General features: G+C 40.7%; 1 protein-coding gene across 1 annotated transcript, besides 6 other annotated features; it reads left to right on the forward strand.

Annotated features, from left to right (window-relative positions):
• Positions 2369–2418: an enhancer, noted in NCBI's record as "active region_24196". NCBI's record gives its function as "activates an Ori minimal core promoter by ATAC-STARR-seq in GM12878 lymphoblastoid cells {active_cell/tissue: GM12878}" and the evidence as "EXISTENCE:reporter gene assay evidence [ECO:0000049][PMID:35858748]".
• Positions 9444–10173: an enhancer, noted in NCBI's record as "OCT4-NANOG-H3K27ac-H3K4me1 hESC enhancer chr6:26183023-26183752 (GRCh37/hg19 assembly coordinates)". NCBI's record gives its function as "activates a minimal SCP1, AML or CMV promoter by ChIP-STARR-seq in naive and primed H9 embryonic stem cells {active_cell/tissue: H9 hESC(naive and primed)}" and the evidence as "EXISTENCE:reporter gene assay evidence [ECO:0000049][PMID:30033119]".
• Positions 9444–10222: a biological region, named in NCBI's record as "OCT4-NANOG-H3K27ac-H3K4me1 hESC enhancer GRCh37_chr6:26183023-26183752".
• Positions 10033–10222: an enhancer, noted in NCBI's record as "active region_24197". NCBI's record gives its function as "activates an Ori minimal core promoter by ATAC-STARR-seq in GM12878 lymphoblastoid cells {active_cell/tissue: GM12878}" and the evidence as "EXISTENCE:reporter gene assay evidence [ECO:0000049][PMID:35858748]".
• H2BC6 (H2B clustered histone 6) lies at positions 10410–10879 on the forward strand. Its single transcript, NM_003523.3, has one exon. The coding sequence runs from the start codon at positions 10445–10447 to the stop codon at positions 10823–10825; it is 381 nt and encodes a 126-aa protein (NP_003514.2). The 5' UTR covers positions 10410–10444; the 3' UTR covers positions 10826–10879.
• Positions 10673–10732: an enhancer, noted in NCBI's record as "active region_24198". NCBI's record gives its function as "activates an Ori minimal core promoter by ATAC-STARR-seq in GM12878 lymphoblastoid cells {active_cell/tissue: GM12878}" and the evidence as "EXISTENCE:reporter gene assay evidence [ECO:0000049][PMID:35858748]".
• Positions 14362–14987: an enhancer, noted in NCBI's record as "NANOG-H3K27ac-H3K4me1 hESC enhancer chr6:26187941-26188566 (GRCh37/hg19 assembly coordinates)". NCBI's record gives its function as "activates a minimal SCP1, AML or CMV promoter by ChIP-STARR-seq in naive H9 embryonic stem cells {active_cell/tissue: H9 hESC(naive)}" and the evidence as "EXISTENCE:reporter gene assay evidence [ECO:0000049][PMID:30033119]".

Genomic DNA, 15318 nt, shown 5'->3' on the forward strand with positions numbered 1-15318 from the left:
TAATTGTTTATAGATTCTTGTGAACTTTTACCTTGACAATTATGTTATTTTCAAAGATAATCATCTTTTCCTATTGAATCCTTGCTCTTCTGACTGCCTGTTCCTATCTCATGGTATTGGCCAAACCCTGTGATGCCGTGTTGAATAGGAGTACTTTCTCACCACACTTGTCTTCCTTCCGCCTCTATGGGAATCCTTCCAAAACGGCACCATTAAGTGTTATACTCGCTGTAGCTCCTCCTTATGAAGTTCTCTTCTCATTGTAGTCTGTTAAGTGTTTATGATTAAAGAGTGTTATATTTTGTTAAATGCTTTCGCAGTATCTTTGGAGATGATCATGTTTTTTCTTTATTAATCTCTTTTTTATTTTATTTATTTTATTTTATTTTATTTTATTTTTTATTATTTTAGTTTTTATTTTGAGATGGAATCTCACTCTGTCTCCCAGGCTGGAGTGCAGTGCCCTGATCTAAGCTCATTACAACCTCTACCTCCCAGGTTCAAGCGATTCTTCTGCCTCACTTTCCCAAGTAACAGGGACTACAGGTGCGTGCCACCACATCTGGCTAAGTTTTGTATTATCAGAAGAAGATAGGCCGCCATTGGCCAGGCTGGCCTTGAACTCCTGACATTAAGTGATCCACCTGCCTCAGCCTCCTAAAGTGCTAGGAATACAGGCGTGAGCCACTGCTCTGGGCCTTCCTTTATTAATTTCTTAAACTGGCAGATTTAGAATACTAAACTTCCTTCTATTCTTAGAATAAACCCTATATAATCAGCTATTTATTTAAATAACATGGTCTCTGCAATTTCTCCTGGTTTCCATTTTTTCTCATAATAGGCATTTTTTTCTAAAAAACAAAAATGAATGTTCATTAGTGAGACAAAACTATAATTTTGTTTTTTTCTTCTTTCTCTCTTCCTTCCTTTTTAAAATTTGTATTCTCCAGTTTTGCTAATAATGTTATACAATTTTACAAGAAAAAAGTGAGTAGGAGAGCTGTTTTTCTATAGTAACAGATTCTGTGAAATAGGTATCATGCCAAGTGAGGTGGCACGTCCCTGTAGTCCCAGCTACTCAGGAGGTGAAGCAGAAGGACCACTTGAGCCCAGGAATTGGAGACTGTAGTGTGCTGCCATCATGCCTGTGTATAGCTTCTGCGCTACAGCCTAGGCAACGTAGCGAGAACCATCTCAGAAAAAAAAAAAAAAAAAAAGAGATAATCTATTCCTCATAAATTCACTAAAACTTGGAATATCTGACCGGACTTGGCAGCATTTGGGTGGAAGGACGTAGAAAATATTTTTTAACTGCCTACCTTATTTTCATAATCATAATTTGTTTAGTCAGCTTGTCTATTTTCTTCTTTTTCTTGAAAATTATTTTCCACTGAGTTTAATTTTTTGTAAAAGTTACACAGCATTCTCTTGTCATTCTTTATATCTCCCTTTTTGTAGTTATGTTCCTTAATTTCTGTAACTTTCTGAAACCAGGGTTAATTTGTTTTGAAATTGTCCAACGTGTGCTTTGAAAAAAAGAAGGGATGTTTTCTGTGTCAAATGAAGGTAATCATAGATCAAATTTGCTTATTGTCTTGTTCAAATCCTAGAAAACCATTAGCATTTTTCTTTGCTTGTAATATGAGAATCTAACACTCATACAGAATATTGAAAGGTTACCCTACAATTGTAAATTTGAAATTCTCCTTCTAATTCTGTCAGTTATTTATTGACATAGTAGTGGTTCTGTAGTCAAGTGCATATAAGGTTTTGAATGTTACATCTTATTTTTGGATTTTTATTTTATCATTATGGAGTATAGCAAAGTTCTATTTTGTTCTTTTTCAAATGTACTTGGTTTTGATTATCCCTTGGTCCTTGATTGTTTTATTATTCTATTTTTTATTTCATTAAACTTTCAGTAAATAGTGATTTTTATAGTCTGTATCTAATCATTTCAATATCTGAAATCCTTTGTTTGCCTAGGGATCTAGGAGGAAATAGAAGGCTCTTTGCTTATAAGCCAAACTCTCCATAGTGTCTGTTTTTCTTCGATTTTGTGACATTTGTTATGAACTTATATTTAAACATCCTAAGTTCCTGACAGAGTGTCTGGCATATAATAGGTGTTCAGTAAATGATTGCTCCATAAATAGATAATGTGTGTAGATGTAGAGAACTTGGGTTCAAGATACTTTCTTCCTGTAGGGATTTGTTTTGTCTTCATCAGGCACAAGGGGGCACTATAAGCCCGAGTCAGTTTAATTTCAGGCCTTCTTCACTGGAACTCAAGACTTCATTTATACTTAGGGTTAAATCTTTGGGGCCAATTTTCTCCATCCACCTCCTCAGAGTCAGAGTCCTGTAGAGACAAACAAGGTTTTATCCCAGAGATGTTTACGAGTTTTTTTCTTCTTTTTTCCTTTTTTTTCTCCAGTCTACCCCTTTTTCAAACCATTCTGGCTTTATGCTATGTCTTCACTTTTGTTTAAGAGCCTAGAATTCTATTCCCCAGGGGGCAGACTTTTAATTCCCAGAGCTCATAATCCTGATTAATGGTATTTGCCCCCAGAGAACCAAAGATGTCCTATTTGTCACCCTAGTTTCAGCTTCTAAATTTTATTGTTCTGGATGGTTTCTGGGAATTTCCCTTGTGGGTTTTTTTTTTTTGCTTTTTTTTTCTTTGGGATGTGTGTGTGTTTGAGACAAGAGTCTTGAGCTGTCGCCCAAGCTGGACTGCAGTGGCATGATCTCGGCTCACTGCAACCTCCACTTCCCAGGTTCAAGCGATTCTCCTGCCTCAGCCTCCTGAGTAGCTTGGATTACAGGCGCGCACCACCATGCTCAGCTAATTTTTGTATTTTTAGTAGAGATGGGGTTTCACCATGTTGGCCAAGCTGGTCTCCAACTCCTGACCTTGAGTGATTCACCCGCCTTGACTTCCCAAAGTTCTGGGATTACAGGCATGAGCCACCGAGCCTGGCCCCTTGTGTTTTTTTGTTAATTGAGTAACTAAGTACTAGTTTGTTGGTTGTAGTTTCTCTAGTTCATAGGTGTATTGCTTCAATAGAGTTTTCCAGAATATCTTCTTTTCCACATTGCAGATAAGAGTCCTTACAGTGTCCCTCTCTATCCCTATGAACACCTTTGCTTTAATATTTTCTCTGATATTAATATTGCTAAACTAGCGCTGTCTTGGTAAACATTTATTTTCCAGGGATATTTGTCCCTCATCTTCTTTATTATTATTATTATTATTATTATTATCTTTTTAAATCCACGCATGATTTGTTTTCAGGCCCAAATAACAGGAGTACTCTCTAAGGCACATTATTACATATATTTTTGCTTCAATTAAAAAAAATCATAAAAAGATAAAATACTGTTCATGTTCAAAAACTGACATTTACTTTTTTTTTTGAAAGGCAAAATAAAACTTATAAAATTCCGTGAAATTGCAACCATATAGCAAAATACCTTGGATATATTCCATTTAATTTAATATCTTGCATCATTTTTGAGTTTTGTTGTAGGTAAACATGAAAAAAAATCACTGTTCTTGGAGCTGGAGAGAACTTTTATGGGAAAAATTTCTATCAGAGAAATCTACTTATTTGTAAGCATAGTAGCCAATTTTGTTTTTAAAGTAATGATCCTGTGGTCCAGGTAACACCCTTCAGCTCATCATCAAGTGATTACTACCTCAGAAGAGTTAAGAGCAATTGGGATTCAGGAAATATGACTAGACAGGCAATTTTCATTATATCCAACATATATTGCTTTAAATAATATATGTCAGTAATTTCTGATTACATTAAAATAAAACCAAATGTATTTAATCTTTTACATTTTTATTTTTTTAAACATCGGACCCAGTGAGATTTAAATGATATGTCATTGATTGCAACTGATAATATTGATATTATTTTTCATTTTAATTTTGCCTATTTTTTAGGCAGTGTTCAATGGCCTATTGACCTTTATCTGAGCTCTGTGATAAAAAAAACAGCAATGGTTAGCAAAATCCTCCCCACCTTCTTTTGTTCCAAAAATGGCTTATTGCAAAAACCACCCTTCATCATATGTGATTTAAATAAGACTCATGGGTCAGGCATGGTGGCTCAGGCCTGTAATCCCAGCACTTTGGGAGGCTGAGGCGGGCAGATCACAAGGTCATGAGATCCAGACCATCCTGGCCAATATGATGAAACCCCATCTCTACTAAAACGACTAAAATTAGCCAAGCGTGGTTCAAGCGATTCTCCTGCCTCAGCCTCCCAAGTAGCTGGGACTACAGGCACGCGCCACCATGCCCAGCTAATTTTTGTCTCGATCTCTTGACCTCATGATTTGCCTGCTTCAGTCTCCCAAAGTGCTGGGATTACAGGCATGAGCCACTGCACCCAGCCAGGGAGGACATCTTCTATAGGGAGGTTTTATCTCCTAGGAAGAAAAATGGGAGATCAGAGTGAAGGAAGAGAAAGACCCTCTCATATTATTTTATATTGTTTTATACTCAGTACCTGTTTTAAGAAAAAACAACAAGGAAGTAAAACCAAAGACAGGCAGCCCGGCGCCAGGCCTGAAACCAGGCCTGGGCCTGCCTGGCCTAAACCCAGTAGTTAAAAATCAACTCATAACTTAGAAACCGATGTTATTCATAGATTCCAGACATTGTATAGAAGAACATTGTGAAACTCCCTGCCCTGTTCTGTTTCTCTCTGACCACCAGTACATGCAGCCCCTGTCACGTAACCCCTGCTTGCTCAAATCAATTACGACCCTTTCATGTATAATCTTTAGTGTTGTGAGTCCTTAAAAGGGACAGAAATTGTGCACTCAGAGAGCTCGGATTTTAAGGCAGTAGTTTGCCGATGCTCCCAGCTGAATAAAGCCCTTCCTTTTACAACTCGGTGTCTGAGAGGTTTTGTCTCCGGCTTGTCCTGCTGCAAGAGCATCCTTCTTGCATCTGCTGTTTTTAAGTCCCTTTAGCTCAAAATAATCCTTATGCCACAATGGCATATTGTAATCTGGAATATTCTGCCACCTTTCACATGTTTATGTGAATGTACTATGTGGCAGGCACTATTCTAAGTGCTAGATATACATCAATGGACAAAACAAGCAAAAATTCCAGCCCTCTTCGATCTTAACATTTCTGTAGGGTTGTCATTCATTTTGTTTCTTTAACTTAAACAACCAAATCCTACCTGAATTAACACTGAAAATTTTCATTACTGATGCTTTATCTGTGTGTTGGTTGAATTATTTAAAAAAGAAATTCATGCAATTTATCTTATCAATGAAGGCAACTAATCTAATAAGATTAAAATTCACTAATCCATCTCTACATAATTTCCAGGAAAAAATGAACAGATTTAATTCATAGGATTTTGTTTTTAAAGTTCTTATCATCAATAGCAATCAAAATATCTTTAAAAGATTAATCAGGCCCGACGAAGAGTGGTGGCTCACACCTGTAATCCCAGCACTTTGGGAGGCCAAGGTGGGCGGATCACCTGCGGTGAGCAATTCGAGAGCAGCCTGGCTAGCATGGTGAAACCTCATCTCTACTAAAATATAAAAATTAGCCAGGCATGGTGGCATGTGCATGCAACTCCAGTTACTGAGGAGGCCGAGGCAGAAGAATTGCTTGAATACAGGAGGCAGAGGTTGCAGTGAGCTGAGATCAAGCTACTGCAGGCGTGTGCCACCCACAAACGGAAGGGAAGGGGAAGGGATGGGAGGGCAGGGCAGGGCAGGGCAGGGAAGGGAACTCGGAAGCTGAAAAAAAAATATTACCTAGTGAGAAATAGGAAATGGAAAATGGTTCTCTCCATCCAGATATTTTTATGGTCGGTATTTATGATGGTAAGGGACAATTATTCAAACCTTACAAAGACATTAAGGGTTGAGGGATGGCAGGGTGGCCTGCCATTTTTCTATGCCAGGCTTCAGCCTTGAGCTCTAGATCTGTAGATGTATCTTCACCCTGAGCAGCTCTATGTGAATGTTTCAACCAGCCTCTCACCTTGTTATATATATACTAGAGAAATGTGTGCACATCTACACCAGGAAACATGTGCAAGAAAGTTCACAGAAGTAATGACCTCGATAATCCCAGACAGACACAATATGAAGGTCTGTTATAATAAATTGAGTAAACCAGTGTTACTATATATTTAGCTATTTAAAATAATGAAATGATGGTACTGGAGTAACATATATGAACATGAATGAATCTCAAAAATATTGGTTTGGATAAAAAACATCATAAAATTATATACAGCTTGTGATTCCATTTATGTGAAGATAAAAATAGGCAAAATGAAATGACTTACAATTTATGGATCCATTCTTAGATATTTAAACTAAGAAAAACCAAAAAACAAGCAAAAACAAAAATAAGATTGATAAAGACAAAATGTAGGGCCATGCTTGGTGTCTGACACTTATAATTTCAGTGACTGGGGAGGCTAAGATGGGAGGATGCCTGGGCAATATAGTGAGATCCCCTTCTCTAAAAAAAAATGTTTTTTTTTTTTCTTGAGACAGGGTCTCACTCTGTCTCCCAGGTAGGAGTGCAGAAGCACACAATCTTGGCTCACTGCAACCTCCACCTCCTGGGTTCAAGCAATTCTCCTTCCTCAACCTCCCAAGTGGCTGGGATTGCAGGCATGTGTCACCACGCTGGGCTAATCTTGCTATTTTTAGTAGAGACAGGGTATCACCATATTTGCTAGGCTGTTCTCAAACTCCTGGCCTCAAGCGATCCACCCGCCTTGGCCTCCCAAAGTGCTGCGATTATAGGCGTGAGCCAACGTGTCTGGCCCAAAAAATTTTTAAATAAAAAACATATATATAGGAGAGTTATACAAGGACTGGTTAATTACTAATGACATTCTAGTTTTTTGTTTTTTTTTTTTTTTTGAGACATAGCCTCACTCTGTGGCCCAGGCTGGAGTCCAATGGCACAATCTCAGCTCAATGCAGCTTCCATCTCCCAGGTTCAAGCGATTCTCCCTACCTCAGCCAACCAAGTAGCTGGATTATAGATGTGTGCCACCATGCCCAGCTAATTTTTGTATTTTTAATAGGAACAGGGTTTCACCATGTTGATCAGGCTGGTCTCGAACTCCTGACCTCAGATGATCCACCCGCATTGGCCTCCCAAAGTGCTGGGAATTATAGGCATGAGCCACTGCGCCCAGCCCAACATTCTAGTTCTTAAACTGCCCTTTATTTTGATGATGTATTTGTGTACTCTGTGAAAAGTGAGATATACTGTTCATAAGATTGTGTGAGTGATCGCTGTTCGCCTAGCTCAAAGTTCTTCCTGTCTCTCCCACGGAATTGGGGAGAGTTATATACAGGGCCTACTTAATTACTAATGACATTTTAGTTCTTAAACTGGGTTTTTAAGTACCAACCATTTGTTTTACAATTCTTGTTTATGTTGCATATACCCTTTTGTGCAGATATAATATTTACTATAAAAATGTTTAAAACTCTCCTGAGATCTCAATCAGAGACAGGAAACCTCAATGCCACTCTACAGTTTTTGTCATTTTTTAAATTTCCCCTATCTTTTTCTTACTTATGTGCCACATCACCATTTTTATTCATATAGATATAAAAGTGCAGAAATTTTAGTCTTTAGCAGGAATTTCAAAAATCACAAATGGCAATGTTACCTGCCTCATTAAAATCATTTAAGGGTCTCAATCCAATCTTGTCAGTTGAATATCTGATATGTGTAGTTTGGATGTAGTTAAGGGCCTTCATCTGCACTTTTCTTTCTGTTTCTTCTTGCAGTTGCAGATTGTATCACTGGACTCCTCTCCCTCTGGTTTTCTTTGTGTATGTTCATTTTGTGTCTCTCCAACGTATTAGTTCATCCTCTTTAGGTGAATTTCTTTCTTTTTATCCTACTCTTCACGTCTGTCTCTCTTTCCATTGTGTCTGTTTCTTTTTTCTCTCCCTCTGCCACTTTTCCCTTAATACGGTTTAAATTTTCTCTCATTTGTCTTTCTCCTTTTTCTCTACTGACTAGATATACCATCAGAGGTTTTTTTTTTCATTTCTAACAACCTCTTATAGTCATTAAAGAAATGCTTCATTTTCCATTCTTTTAACATAAGAAGAACAAGAAGCATTTTTCTCTTTTTGCAACACAGCCCACCAAGGTAGGTGAAGATGTTTTCTAACAGACTAGATCCAAGCCAGACTGCCTAAATCATCATTCTGGTTACACCTAGTATAAGCGATGGGGTTTGGGGCAGGATGCCGCAACTTGGGTACTCTAATTTCCCTTTCTGTTAAATGAGAACAAAAGTAATATCACATGTTTTTTTGTTTGTTTGTTTTGTTTTGTTTTTTGAGATGGAGTCTTGCTGTTGCTCTGTCACGTAGGCTGGAGTGCAATGGTGCGGTCTCGGCTCACTGCAACCTCGGCCTCCCGGGATCTCCTTCAGCCTCCCAAGTAGCTGAGACTACAGGCATGCGCCACCACGCCCGGCTAATTTTTGTATTTTTAGCAGCGACAGGGTTCCACTATATTGGCCAGGCTGGTCTCAAACTCCTGATCTCGGGATCCGCATGCCTCGGCCTCCCAAAGTGTTGGGATTACAGGCGTGAGACACCACGCCAGACCTTTTTTTTTTTTTCCTCTCTCCCTCTTTGAGACAGAGTCTCGCTCTGTTGCCCAGGCTGTAGTGCAGTGCCAATCTCGGCACACTGCAAGCTCCGCCTCCCAGGTTCACGCCATTCTCCTGCCTCAGTCTTCCGAGTAGCTGGGACTACAGGCGCTCACCACCACGCCCAGCTAATTTTTTGTATTTTTCGTAGAGACAGGGTTTCACCGTGTTAGCCAGGATGGTCTCGATCTCCTGACCTTGTGATCCGCCCGCCTCAGCCTCCCAAACTGCTGGGATTACAGGCGTGAGCCACCGCGCCCGGCCCTTTTTTTTTTTTTTTTTAAGAAGGAGTTTTGCTCTGGTTGCCCAGGCTGGAGTACAGCGGTGCAGTCTCAGCTCACTGCAACCCCCACCTCCCGTGTTCAAGCGATTCTCCTGCCTCAGCCTCCCAAGTAGTTGGGATGACAGGCGTGTGCCACCCTACTCAGCTAAGTTTTTGTATTTAGTAGAGACGGGGTTTCACCATGTTGGTCAGGCTGGTCTCGAACTCCTGCCCTCAGGTGATCCACCCGCCTCGGCCTCCCAAAGTGCTGGGATTACAGGCTTGCGCCACTGCGCCCGGCCCAAGATTTTTTGATTAAATAAATACAAATAAAGCACATTAGCTATTATTCTGAACACTGCTACATTAGCTACATTGAAAATTAAAAAAGATGTTAAACAGATTTTAAGGTTTTCTCGTCATCACTGAAGTGAGAAAAACAAATTATTTTGTGAAACAAAGATAAGACACAATAAATTCAGAGTACACTTTTGTTAGATGCTAACCCACAGAGCGGAATACTTTTTGCGCAGCACCTTCATTCCTGGAGACTTAGGGCCCGGGAAATGGGAATGGTGGCAGGAGAGGAGAAGGGCTAGGGGGCTGGGGAGCGTGGGGTGAAGGAGTGGGGGCTTAAAAAGGACAGTCAAATTTAGGAAGAACAGTTTCTTAAACTGAAGTTAGCTAAGCAGCGGGCTTCAGCCAAAGATAATAATACTAACTTGAAAGTAAAGCTGTTTGTTAAATAGGCTTTCATTTTAATTTTTTAAAAAATATTTTCACTAGTTAGACGGAATATTTATTTCTGATCCTCGTTGTAGGGCTAAACTAGGTGTGACTTGCTTTTCCATTAAGGACTGTAGCCATTTTGGCTAAGAAAGTCTTTCCTGTCTTAGCTCTCTTCAAGAGATGCTATTTACTTTTTTGTTGTTGTTTTCTCCGGAGCTTTATTGCCTACCCTTTATTTTCACGATGTGTTTGTGCATTCTGTAAAAAGTGGGAAACACTGTTCTCCGGATTGTGTGGGTGATCGCCGGTCGCCTAGCTTGCCGTTCTTCAGGTATCTCCTGCTGCTCCAGAATCTACATCTGAATGTCAAGGCATAGCTTTTCCAGGAGCTTTTAAACCGACCTTTCAATTCGAAGACGTAACTGCGCCAGGAGCTTTGTCTCCCTGGCATATAAAAGCATAGAAGAGAGCAACTTCTGGTTTTTAAAATAAGTAAACTAATCTGAATTGTTTGCAATGGTAGGAACTTGTTATATAAAATGTTAATTAGGTGGCCCGTGCTCGAAAACTGCTCTCAGGATATGACCAATGGGAGAGTAGACCTAAGCTCCTTCATTTGCATGCAGACTTCACGACAAAATAACGAATCAGAGTTGGAGAAACTAAATCTTCATTTACATAACATTGTCTACAAATTCCGAGGATCAGGAGATGTAGATTTCATTTTCTTTCCTAACTGCAGAACAGCAAAGATAGCATGCCTGAGCCAGCGAAATCCGCTCCCGCCCCGAAGAAGGGCTCCAAGAAGGCCGTGACCAAGGCGCAGAAGAAGGACGGCAAGAAGCGCAAGCGCAGCCGCAAGGAGAGCTACTCCGTATACGTGTACAAGGTGCTGAAACAGGTCCACCCCGACACCGGCATCTCCTCTAAAGCCATGGGGATCATGAATTCCTTTGTCAACGACATCTTCGAGCGCATCGCCGGCGAGGCTTCCCGCCTGGCGCATTACAACAAGCGCTCGACCATCACCTCCAGGGAGATCCAGACGGCCGTGCGCCTGCTGCTTCCCGGGGAGCTGGCCAAGCACGCTGTGTCAGAGGGCACCAAGGCCGTTACCAAGTACACCAGCTCCAAGTAAACTTGTCCCTGCAACTGCCTTAGTAAACCCAAAGGCTCTTTTCAGAGCCACTCACCTTTTCACAATTGGAGCTATATACTGACATGTGAAGATACTAGAAACTCCTGCAGCTGAAATAGGCATGTTTTTAAAACTTAAAATGGCACTCACTGTCTGGGCTGGTGGCTTTATGAAACTCTGGTTTCCGTGTTTTATGAGGTATCACTCGATAGTACCTAAGAGGCAATAGTAATTTCATAGTTTTGCTCTACGAAGAGAAACTTCGTTTCTCAAGAGTCCTTAAAAATACGGGTTTTACCAAAGAAGCCCATATTATGGGGGGCTGGAGCGGGGGTGGGGAAGGAGGAGAGGAGACTGCTGCTTTCAAGTAGTTCTTAATGTTGAATTTGCTTTTTTCCTTTCCTCAATTACTTCAAAAAGGTCTTAATTTGGATTTTTATTTTAGGTTCTAAAGGAAAAAATAAAACCCTCTTCCCTCTACCGCCTCACCTGTCTGGTTTCACCAATTAGACTTGAACAATTCTCAGTGTGCAACCACACTCGCGCTCGCACACAAACACATACACACATTGTTCATTGATCGACAATCCCCATCTCATCTTTATCATGTTCTTAGAGAAGTTGGGTCTCCATTGTTAAGGATTCTCCTAATCACAAAAACTGACTATATACCTATCCCCAATCCAATCATTAATAAGGGGCATGTGATCTTTAGGATAGGTGTAGTCAAATTAATCAGATCCCTGAGGCTAGAAGGAACTCTGCCTTCTCTGGAGAACAAGTCAGGGAACAAAGAAAGTTGTATTAGGAAGAAAGGAGGGAAAATGACTTTTGGGGAGGAGGCATCTGCACTGCCTGATACAAGCAGCTTCCAGGCGAAGGTGGATGGAAGGAATATCCAGTAGGTTGAAAATGGATAGTCATTCCTTCATATTCAAGTGCCAAGCAGTGAATTTTGTACTGAGGACTTCTGCACTGAGAATAGTGGTTCTCAGACTTCAGTGTGCATCAGAATCACCTGGAGAGCTTGTTAAAGGAGATTGCTGAGATAAAGAATATGCTAACCAAGCCTCCTGCTCACGTGGAGTTTTCTTGTGATAAAGATGTGGGAGAAGATTGTGAAGAGTCTGAATGTCAAACAATGAAGTTTAGATTTATTTTGCAGACAATAAGGTTATAGAAAGCTTGTGAGCAAGGACTAACAAAATTATAACTAGTTCTAGGAATATGCTTCTGGTGGCAAGAGACTGGATGCAGTGGAGGGAAATGATGTTGAAGGAGGATAAAGTTTCAAGCCAAAGAAATGGCAGGAGTAATGGAGCAGGGGATACAATAAACAAATCAGAGAGTAGTTGAAGGGATTTCATTCAGTATTTCATCAAATATTGATTGCATTCCCTCTGTGCCAGGCATTGAAATACTTCAGTGAGCAAGATAGACAAGAGACTGCCCTTCTGAGGCTCATATCCTAGTGAAGGAAGAGAGATGATAGACTGGGCATGGTGGCTCACGCCTGTAATCCCAGCACTTTCGGAGGCCAAGGAGGGCGGATCATCTGAGGTCGAGATTTCAAGACCAGGTTGTCCAACATGGCAAAACCCTGTCTCTATTAAAAATACAAAAATTAGCTGAGCATAGTATCACAGGCCTGTAGTCCCAGCTACTTGGGAAGCTGAGGCAGAAGAATAGGAGAATTGCTTGAACCCAGGAGGCGGAGACTGCAGTGAGCCAAGATCACACCACTGCACTCCAGCGTGGGTGACAGAGGGAAATTCCATCTCAAAAAAAAAAAAAAAAAGAAGAAGAAGAAGAAGAATATAGGTCTATTTCACTCAGCAAATGGTAACTCACTCCTGTTCAATGTATTATTTAGTATTATGTCTGCGATTCCTCTCTATCTTTAAATTTGGGATCTCTAGATCTCAGACCCTGAAATCCTAGACTTCTGGTTGTTGACAGGAATCCATGGAGCCCTGGGAGTTCCTTGAGTTTCTGAGAATAATGAGCCTCATAAAATGTCTATGTTCATATGTCTATTTTCAACAGATTCTCAAAGGAGTTTTTGATCCATCTATTACTACAAACTACTCTATTTTTTTTTTTTTTTTTTTTTTTTGATACAGAGTTTTGCTCTTGTTGCCCAGGCTGGAGTGCAATGGCACGATCTTGGCTCACCACAACCTCTGCCACCTGGGTTCAAGCGATTTTCCTGCCTCAGCCTCCTGAGTAACTGGGGTTACAGGGATGTGCCACTATGCCCAGCTAGTTTTTTATTTTTAGTAGAGACAGGGTTTCTCCATGTTGGTCAGGGTGTTCTCGAACTCCCAACCTCAGGTGATCCCCCTGCCTTGCCCTCCCAAAGTGCCAGGATTACAGGTGAGAGCCACAGTGCCCAGCAGAACCACTCTTGAAGGGAAGTCAGCCCATTGAAATATACAGGTTACCACTGCTGAAGACATATAGACTATCTAGTCTACCCATTGATAACTTTTTTTTTTTTTGAGATAGAGTCTCACTCTGTGACCCCAAAGTTGCTAGGACTACAAGCATGTGCCAGCATGCCCGGCTAATTTTTGTATTTTTATTAGAGACGAGGTTTCTCCGTGTTGGCCAGGCGGGTCTCAAACTCCTGACCTCAAGTGATCCACACACCTTGGCCTCCCAAAGAGCTGGGATTACAGGCGTGAGCCACGTGCCTTGCCTGATCTCTAACTTGTAATCAGCCCCACTCTGTTCTGTCTATAATGGAACCCAACAGAGGTGATACCAAGTCGACAGGCTCATTTGGCATCAGCTTTTCTGTAAAGAGCTTTCAGGTCAATGGAAGGACATTCCACAATACTAAATAAGTTTAGTAACAAAACTGAATTTTGTGTGATAAAGTTATGCTGCTTACAAAGAGACTCAACAATAAATAAGCTTAAAGACAGATATTTTTGTTTCATGGAACAAATCCATTGTGATTAGTCCAGCTTTGTGAAGCAGCTCTGCTCCTTGTGATCAATCAGGAAATTTCGTTCCTTCCAAGTCAATGTTCTGTCATCTCCTAGGGCCTGATGTTCTCTAATTGCTCAAAATGAAATCAATACCATTATACTTGGGGAAGAAGGTAACATGGAAGTTTCAAAGCCCAGACCTGGTAGTAACTTTTCTATGTGTCTCACCTGTGTTGGAAATAATGTAGCCACATGCTTACATCTGCTCCCAGAAAGACCAGGAAATGTTGTCTCTTGCTAGATAGCCACCTGTCCAGCTTTCTTTTTATTATGATAAAGTGAAAAAACTTTATTGGAAAAATAAGGGTTTACTCAATATTCTCCACAAATTAAAATCCATTTTGAGGACAGCGAATAATACAGTGGCATACTGATAGTCCTGCGATTGTAAGGACTGGAGTAACCCACTAGGGAATGGCTTACTTATTTTTGTCTCATTTCCTGAGGTGTAAAGGGAAAGAAGGTGGGAATTTAATCATGACAACCTCGGTTTTAAACACCCATTCATGCAACCACAGTAACCTGATCTATGATTTAAGGTAAAATGACTTCTGTTAATAATAAAGTCTAAGACTATTTAAGATAAAAGGACAACAAAAAAAGAACTCGTTCAACATACCTTTAAATTGGCCACGGGTACATAAATAAAAAGTCCTTTTAAATTCAACAATAGAAAATCAGTAGATCTGGATGGAAGGCAGCTCAGAGGAACAGAACCAAACAAGTTGGCCTCTCCCCATTCCACTAAAAAATGTTGAATCTTATGTACTTTCATGGTTGTTTCTCCCACGGTAATTACTACTTTCTTCTTTAAAGAATGTATTTGCCAGTCAAGTGCCTCCAACACACCTCCCATCCCCCCACACCAATAACCATCTGAATGCCATTTTGTCTTCCTTTCATATAACAATGCCTTGGTAGGAACTAGTAACTACCTCCATTTTTTTCACTATTCTTCACGGCAGCATCAGCCTTTACCACTTGCCTTCTGAGATACAGGTTTTGCTACCTTGTTTCTCCAGCAGCTACAGTCTTTGCTACCTTGTTTCTCTGATAGCCATGAAGAATGTTAGCAGCAGTTTGCCATGTTTCCTTACAGAAATACAGAAAACACAGGCCAAGCGTGGTGGCTCACGCCTGTAATCCCAGCACTTTCGGAGGCGGAGGAGGGAAATCTCTTTTGAGCTTGAGTTCAAGACCAGCCTGGGAAACATGGCGAAAACCCATCGCTGCAAAAAATACAAAGATTAGCCGGGTGTTGGTGGCGCAAGCCGGTTGCCCCAGCTACGCAAGAGGCTGAGGCACAAGAATCGTTTGAACCCGGGAGGCGGAGACTGCAGATTGCCGAGATCGCGCCATTGATTACTCCAGCATGGGCGACACAGCAAGAGTGAAAATAAACTTTAATACACTATCCTCACCGGCCAGTAAGATATGAAGCCAAGGCGTAATAAGACCATTTAACTTGAAAACCGGAGCTACTAAACACGTGAAACT

This window comes from Homo sapiens, chromosome 6 (genome assembly GCF_000001405.40).
Source record: "Homo sapiens chromosome 6, GRCh38.p14 Primary Assembly".
NCBI classification, from domain to species: Eukaryota; Metazoa; Chordata; class Mammalia; order Primates; family Hominidae; genus Homo; species Homo sapiens.